General features: G+C 40.1%; 1 annotated feature.

Moving 5' to 3' along the window:
• Window positions 415-951: an enhancer, noted in NCBI's record as "H3K27ac hESC enhancer chr5:130233483-130234019 (GRCh37/hg19 assembly coordinates)". NCBI's record gives its function as "activates a minimal SCP1, AML or CMV promoter by ChIP-STARR-seq in naive H9 embryonic stem cells {active_cell/tissue: H9 hESC(naive)}" and the evidence as "EXISTENCE:reporter gene assay evidence [ECO:0000049][PMID:30033119]".

The following is a 9220-nucleotide window of genomic DNA, read 5'->3' on the forward strand; positions in this document are numbered from 1 at the left end:
ATAAAACACCAAAAGCAATGGCAACAAAAGCCAAAACAGACAAATAGGATCGAATTAAACTAAAGAGCTTCTGTGCAGCAAAATAAACTATCATCAGAGTAAACAGGCAATCTACAGAACGGGAGAAAATTTTTGCAATTTACCCATCTGACAAAGAGCTAATATCCAGAATCTACCAAGAACTTAAACAGAAGATGGCCGAACAGGAACAGCTCCGGTCTACAGCTCCCAGCATGAGTGACGCAGAAGACGGGTGATTTCTGCATTTCCAGCTGAGGTACCGAGTTCATGTCATTAGGGAGTGCCAGACAGTGGGTGCAGCCCACCATGCACGAGCCGAACCAGGGCGAGGCACTGCCTCACTCGGGAAGTGCAAGGGGTCAGGGAGTTCCCTTTCTGAGTCAAAGAAAGGGGTGACAGACGGCACCTGGAAAATCGGGTCACTCCACCCTAATACTGCGATTTTCCGAAGGGCTTAAAAAATGGCGCACCAGGAGATTATCTCCCGCACCTGGCTCAGAGAGTCCTACGCCCACGGAGTCTTGCTGATTGCTAGCACAGCAGTCTGAGATCAAACTGCAAGGCGGCAGCAAGGCTGGGGGAGGGGCGCCCGCCATTGCCCAGGCTTGCTTAGGTAAACAAAGCAGCCTGGAAGCTCGTACTGGGTGGAGCCCACGACGCTCAAGGAGGCCTGCCTGCCTCTGTAGGCTCCACCTCTGGGGGCAGGGCACAGACAAACAAAAAGACAGCAGTAACCTCTGCAGACTTAAATGTCCCTGTCTGACAGCTTTGAAGAGAGCAGTGGTTCTCCCAGCACGCAGCTGGAGAACTGAGAACGGGCAGACTGCTTCCTCAAATGGGTCCCTGATCCCTGACCCCCAAGCAGCCTAACTGGGAGGCACCCCCCAGTAGGGGCAGACTGACACCTCACACGGCCGGGTACTCCTCTGAGACAAAACTTCCAGAGGAATGATCAGACAGCAGCATTTGCGGTTCACGAAAATCCGCTGTTCTGCATCCACTGCTGCTGATACCCAGGCAAACAGGGTCTGGAGTGGACCTCTAGCAAACTCCAACAGACCTGCAGCTGAGGGTCCTGTCAGTTAGAAGGAAAACTAACAAACAGAAAGGACATCCACACCAAAAACCCATCGTTACCTCACCCAAAAAAGACCAAAAGTAGATAAAACCACAAAGATGGGGAAAAAACAGAGCAGAAAAACTGGAAACTCTAAAAAGCAGAGTGCCTCTCCTCCTCCAAAGGAATGCAGTTCCTCACCAGCAACGAAACAAAGCTGGACGGAGAATCACTTTGACGAGCTGAGAGTAGAAGGCTTCAGATGATCAAATTACTCCGAGCTACGGGAGGACATTCAAACCAAAGGCAAAGAAGTTGAAAACTTTGAAAAAAATTTAGAAGAACGTATAACTAGAATAACCAATAGAGAGAAGTGCTTAAAGGAGCTGATGGAGCTGAAAGCCAAGGCTCAAGAACTACCCGAAGAATGCAGAAGCCTCAGGAGCCGATGCGATCAACTGGAAGAAAGGGTATGAGTGATGGAAGATGAAATGAATGAAATGAAGCGAGAAGGGAAGTTTAGAGAAAAAAGGAATAAAAAGAAACGAACAAAGCCTCCAAGAAATATGGGACCATGTGAAAAGACCAAATCTACGTCTGATTGGTGTACCTGAAAGTGACGGGGAGAATGGAACCAAGTTGGAAAACACTCTGCAGGATATTATCCAGGAGAACTTCCCCAATCTAGCAAGGCAGGCCAATATTCAGATTCAGGAAATACAGAGAACGCCACAAAGATACTCCTCGAGAAGAGCAACTCCAAGACACATAATTGTCAGATTCACCAAAGTTGAAATGGAGGAAAAAATATTAAGGGCAGCCAGAGAGAAAGGCCGGGTTACCCACAAAGGGAAGCCCATCAGACTAACAGCGGATCTCTCGGCAGAAACTCTACAAGCCAGAAGAGAGTGGGGGCCAATATTCAACATTCTTAAAGAAAAGAATTTTCAACCCAGAATTTCATATCCAGCCAAACTAAGCTTCATAAGTGAAGGAGAAATAAAATACTTTACAGACAAGAAAATGCTGAGAGATTTTGTCACCACCAGGCCTGCCTAAAAGAGCGTCTGAAGGAAGCACTAAACATGGAAAGGAAAAACAAGTACCAGCCACTGCAAAATCATGCCAAATTGTAAAGACCATCAAGGCTAGGAAGAAACTGCATCAACTAACGAGCAAAATAACCAGCTAACATCACAATGACAGGATCAAATTCACACAAAACAATATTAACTTTAAATGTAAATGGACTAAATGCTTCAATTAAAAGACACAGACTGGCAAATTGGATAAAAAGTCAAGATCCATCAGTGTGCTGTATTCAGGAAACCCATCTCACATGCAGAGACACACATAGGCTCAAAATAAAAGGATGGAGGAAGATCTACCAAGAAAATGGAAAACAAAAAAAGGCAGGGGTTGCAATCCTAGTCTCTGATAAAACAGACTTTAAACCAACAAAGATCAAAAGAGACAAAGAAGGCCATTACATAATGGTAAAGGGATCAATTCAACAAGAAGAGCTAAGGATAATAAATATACATGCACCCAATACAGGAGCACCCAGATTCATAAAGCAAGTCCTGAGTGACATACAAAGAGACTTAGACTCCCACACAATAATAATGGGAGACTTTAACACCCCACTGTCAACATTAGATAGATCAACGAGATAGAAAGTTAACAAGGATACTCAGGAATTGAACTCAGCGCTGCACCAAGCAGACCTAATAGACATCTACAGAATTCTCCACCCCAAATCAGCAGAATATACATTTTTTTCAGCACCACACCACACCTATCCCAAAATTGACCACATACTTGGAAGTAAAGCTCTCCTCAGCAAATGTAAAAGAATAGAAATTATAACAAACTGTCTCTCAGACCACAGTGCAATCAAACTAGAACTCAGTATTAAGGAACCCACTCAAAACCGCTCAACTACATGGAAACTGAACAACCTGCTCCTGAATGACTACTGGGTACATAACGAAATGAAGGCAGAAATAAAGATGTTCTTTGAAACCAATGAGAACAAAGACACAACATACCAGAATCTCTGGGACACATTCAAAGCAGTGTGTAGAGGGAAATTTATAGCACTAAATGCCCACAAGAGAAAGCAGGAAGATCCAAAATTGACACCCTAACATCACAATTAAAAGAACTAGAAAAGCAAGAGCAAACACATTCAAAAGCTAGCAGAAGGCAAGAAATAACTAAAATCAGAGCAGAACTGAAGGAAATAGAGACACAAAAAACCCTTCAAAAAATTGATGAATCCAGGAGCTGGTTTTTTGAAAGGATCAACAAAATTGATAGACTGCTAGCAAGACTAATAAAGAAGAAAAGAGAGAAGAATCAAATAGACACAATAAAAAATCATAAAGGGGATATCACCACCAATCCCACAGAAATACAAACTACTATCAGAGAAGACTACAAACACCTCTATGCAAACAAATTAGAAAATCTAGAAGAAATGGATAAATTCCTCGACACATACACCCTCCCAAGTCTAAACCAGGAAGAAGTTGAATCTCTGAACAGACCAATAACAGGCTCTGAAATTGTGGCAATACTCAGTAGCTTACCAACCAGAAAGAGTCCAGGATCAGATGGATTCACAGACGAATTCTACCAGAGGTACAAGGAGGAGCTGGTACCATTCCTTCTGAAACTATTCCAATCAATAGAAAAAGAGGGAATCCTCACTAACTCATTTTATGAGGCCAGCATCATCCTGATACCAAAGCCGGGCAGAGACACAACCAAAAAAGAGAATTTTAGACCAATATCCTTGATGAACATTGATGCAAAAATCCTCAATAAAATACTGGCAAACCGAATCCAGCAGCACATCAAAAAGCTTATCCAACATGATCAAGTGGGCTTCATCCCCGGGATGCAAGGCAGGTTCAATATACGCAAATCAATAAATGTAATCCAGCATATAAACAGAACCAAAGACAAAAACCACATGATTATCTCAATAGATGCAGAAAAGGCCTTTGACAAAATTCAACAACCCTTCATGCTAAAAACTCTCAATAAATTAGGAATTGATGGGACGTATCTCAAAATAATAAGAGCTATCTGTGACAAACCCACAGCCAATATCATACTGAATGGGCAAAAACTGGAAGCATTCCCTTTGAAAACGGGCACAAGACAGGGATGCCCTCTCTCACCACTCCTATTCAACATAGTGTTGGAAGTCCTGGCCAGGGCAATCAGGCAGGAGAAGGAAATAAAGGGCATTCAATTAGGAAAAGAGGAAGTCAAATTGTCCCTGTTTGCAGATGACATGATTGTATAGCTAGAAAACCCCATTGTCTCAGCCCAAAATCTCCTTAAGCTGATAAGGAACTTCAGCAAAGTCTCAGGATACAAAATCAATGTACAAAAATCACAAGCATTCTTATACACGAATAACAGGCAAACAGAGAGCCAAATCATGAGTGAACTCCCATTCACAATTGCTTCAAAAAGAATAAAATACCTAGGAATCCAACTTACAAGGGACTTGAAGGACCTCTTCAAGGAGAACTACAAACCACTGCTCAATGAAATAAAAGAGGATACAAACAAATGGAAGAACATTTTATGCTCATGGGTAGGAAGAATCAATATCATGAAAATGGCCATACCGCCCAAGGTAATTTATAGATTCAATGCCATCCCCATCAAGCTACCAATGACTTTCTTCACATAATTGGAAAAAACTACTTTCAAGTTCATATGGTACCAAAAAAGAGCCCAGATCGCCAAGTCAATCCTAAGCCAAAAGAACAAAGCTGGAGGCATCACGCTACCTGACTTCAAACCAAACAGCATGGTACTGTTACCAAAACAGAGATATAGACCAATGGAACAGAACAGGGCCCTCAGAAATAACGCCGCATATCTACAACTATCTGATCTTTGACAAACCTGAGAAAAACAAGAAATGGGGAAAGGATTCCCTATTTAATAAACGGTGCTGGGAAAACTGGCTAGCCATATGTAGAAAGCTGAAACTGGATCCCTTCCTTACACCTTATACAAAAACTAATTCAAGATGGATTAAAGACTTAAACATTAGACCTAAAACCATAAAAACCCTAGAAGAAAACCCAGGCATTACCATTCAGGACATAGGCACGGGCAAGGACTTCATGCTAAAACACCAAAAGCAATGGCAACAAAAGCCAAAATTGACAAATGGGATCTAATTAAACTAAAGAGCTTCTGCACAGCAAAAGAAACTACCACCAGTGTGAACAGGCAACCTACAAAATGGGAGAAAATTTTCACAACCTACTCATCTGACAAAGGGCTAATATCCAGAATCTACAATGAACTCAAACAAATTTACAAGAAAAAGACAATCAACACCGTCAAAAAGTGGGTGAAGAACATGAACAGACACTTCTCAAAAGAAGACATTTATGCAGCCAAAAGACACATGAAAAAATGCTCATCATCACTGGCGATCAGACAAATGCAAATCAAAACCGCAATGAGATACCATCTCACACCAGTTAGAATGGCAATCATTAAAAAGTCAGGAAACAACAGGTGCTGGAGAGGATGTGGAGAAACAGGAACACTTTTACACTGTTGGTAGGACTGTAAACTAGTTCAACCATTGTGGAAGTCAGTGTGGTGATTCCTCAGGGATCTAGAACTAGAAATACCATTTGACTGAGCCATCCCATTACTGGGTATATACCCAAAGGTCTATAAATCATGCTGCTATAAAGACACTTGCACACGTATGTTTATTGCGGCACTATTCACAATAGCAAAGACTTGGAACCAACTCAAATGCCCAACAATGATAGACTGGATTAAGAAAATGTGGCACATATACACCATGGAATACTATGCAGCCATAAAAAATGACGAGTTCATGTCCTTTGTAGGGACATGGATGAAACTGGAAATCCTCATTCTCAGTAAACTACCTGAAGAACAAAAAACCAAACACCACATATTCTCACTCATAGGTGGGAATTGAACAATGAGAACACATGGACACAAGAAGGGGAACATCACACTCTGGGGACTGTTGTGGGGTGGGCGGATGGGGGAGGGATAGCATTAGGAGATATACCTAATGCTAAATGACGAGTTAATGGGTGCAGCACACCAGCATAGCACATGTATAATATGTAACTAACCTCCACATTGTGCACATGTACCCTAAAACTTAAAGTATAATAATAATAAAATAAAATAAAATAAAGAACTTAAACAAATTTACAAGAATAAAGCAACCCCATCAAAAAAGGGGAAAAGGATATGAACAGACACTTCTCAAAAGATGACATTTATGCAGCCATCAGACATATGAAAAAATGCTCATCATCACTGGTCATCAGAGAAATGCAAATCAAAACCACAGTGAGATACCATCTCACGCCAGTTAGAATGGCGATCATTAAAATGTCAGGAAACAACAGATGCCGGAGAGGATGTGGAGAAATAGGAACACTTTTACACCGTTGGGGGAGTGTAAACTAGTTCAACCATTGTGGAAGTCAGTGTGTTGATTCCTCAAGGATCTAGAACTAGAAATACCATTTGACCCAGCCATCCCATTACTGCATATATACCCAAAAGGATTATAAATCATGCTACTATAAAGACGCATGCACATATGTGTTTATTGCAGCACTATTCACAATAGCAAAGACTTGGAACCCACTAAAATGTCTATCAGTGATAGACTGGATTAAGAAAATATGGCACATATACACCATGGAATAATATGCAGCCATAAAAAAGGATGAGTTCATGTCCTTTGCAGGGACATGGATGAAGCTGGAAACCATCATTCCCAGCAAACTATCACAAGGACCGAAAACCAACGACCACGTTTTCACTCATAGGTGGGAATTGAACAATGAGAACACATGGACACAGGGCAGGGAACATCACATACCAGGGGCCTGTCGGAGGGTGGGGGACTGGGGGAGGGATAGCACCAGGAGAAATACCTAATGTAAATGACAAGTTGATGGGTGCAGCAAACCAACATGGCACATGTATACCTATGTAACAAACCTGCACGTTGTGCACATGTACCCTAGAACTTAAAGTATAATAAAAAAAGAAAGAAAGTGACTGGATGTAGCCATGTAGACTTAAGAACAAAAAAAAAAACAGGGAGAGAGAAGGCTGATTATAAAATTTACATGTAAAGACAAGGAAATTAGAATAGCCCAAACAATTTAAAAAAAAAAAAAAACTTTGAGGATTCAGACTAGTAGACAACACAATGTGTTATTGGATAAATAATAGACACATAGATTAAAAGAACAGAATAGAGAATTCAAAAATAGATCTACACAAATATGAACAAAATAGGCTTTTGATAAATGTGCAAAAGAATTCAGTGGAGACAGTATAGTCCTTTCAGCAAATGATCCTGGGACAACTGAACATCTGTATGGAAAAGCAGAATTAAACCTCAACCCATACCTCACAACTTGTTCAACAATTAACCCAAAGTGTATCATAGGCCCAAATGTAAAATATAAAACTTTATACACAAGAAAATTTTCTTGACCTTGGGTTAAAAAACAGTTCTTAGATTTGACATCAAAGCATGACTTTTTTTAAGGACAAATTGGGCTTTATCAAATTTTAAAACTTTTCTCTCTGCCAAAAAAAAAAAATTTAAGAGAATGAAAAGACAAGCTGAAAGTTAGGAGAAAATATTCACAAATAACATATTCAACAAGGGACTTCTATATAAAATATATTAAAATCTCTCAAATCTTAGCCAAAGAAAAACAGCTACAATATAAAATGGGCAAAAGATTTTAACAAACACCTCACCAAGGAAGATAAATTGATAGCAAATAACTACATGGAAAGATGCTCAACATTATTAGTCATTAATGAAATACAAATTAAAATCGCAATGAAATATCACTATAAACCTAACAGAATGTTTAAAATTTAAAAGATGGAAGGGTTCTCCTAATGCTATCCCTCCACCCTCCCCCCACCCCACAACAGTCCCCAGAGTGTGATGTTCCCCTTCCTGTGTCCATGTGTTCTCATTGTTCAATTCCCATCTATGAGTGAGAACATGTGGTGTTTGGTTTTTTGTTCTTGCGATAGTTTACTGAGAATGATGATTTCCAATTTCATCCATGTCCCTACAAAGGACATGAACTCATCATTTTTTATGGCTGCATAGTATTCCATGGTGTATATGTGCCACATTTTCTTAATCCAGTCTATCATTGTTGGACATTTGAGTTGGGTTCCAAGTCTTTGCTATTGTGAATAGTGCCACAATAAACATACGTGTGCATGTGTCTTTATAGCAGCATGATTTATAGTCCTTTGGGTATATACCCAGTAATGGGATGGCTGGGTCAAATGGTATTTCTAGTTCTAGATCCCTGAGGAATCGCCACACTGACTTCCACAATGGTTGAACTAGTTTACAGTCCCACCAACAGTGTAAAAGTGTTCCTGTTTCTCCACATCCTCTCCAGTACCTGTTGTTTCCTGACTTTTTAATGATTGCCATTCTAACTGGTGTGAGATGGTATCTCATTGTGGTTTTGATTTGCATTTCTCTGATGGCCAGTGATGATGAGCATTTTTTCATGTGTCTTTTGGCTGCATAAATACCTAATGCTAAATGACGAGTTAATGGGTGCAGCGCACCAGCATGGCACATTTATACATATGTAACTAACCTGCACATTGTGCACATGTACCCTAAAACTTAAAATATAATAATAATAAAAAAAAGGAAAAGAAAACAAAAAAGTAAAAAAATAAAAGATGGAAGGGTTAGAGAAGGGGAGGAGAAAAAGAAGAAAGAAAAAATAAGAGGAAGAGATACTGACAATACCAAGTATTAGCAAGAAAGTAGAGCAACTCAAAATTTCATATACTGCTAATGGGAATGCAAAATGATACAATAACTCTGCACAACAGATTGACAGGATTAGTTTTAAAATATATGAATATAAATGTGTTTTTGAAAAAGGCTAGAAACAGGATGATAGCTAGAGGAGGATGTGGAGTCAAAAAGAGAGTTTTCTTAAAGATAAAGTTGTATCTGCATGTTTGCAGGTCAATAAGAGAAGTCCACTTGAGGGGGAAAACTTATTAGTGAGGGAGGGAGAG

This window comes from Homo sapiens, chromosome 5, assembly GCF_000001405.40.
Source record: "Homo sapiens chromosome 5, GRCh38.p14 Primary Assembly".
Lineage (NCBI taxonomy): Eukaryota > Metazoa > Chordata > Mammalia > Primates > Hominidae > Homo > Homo sapiens.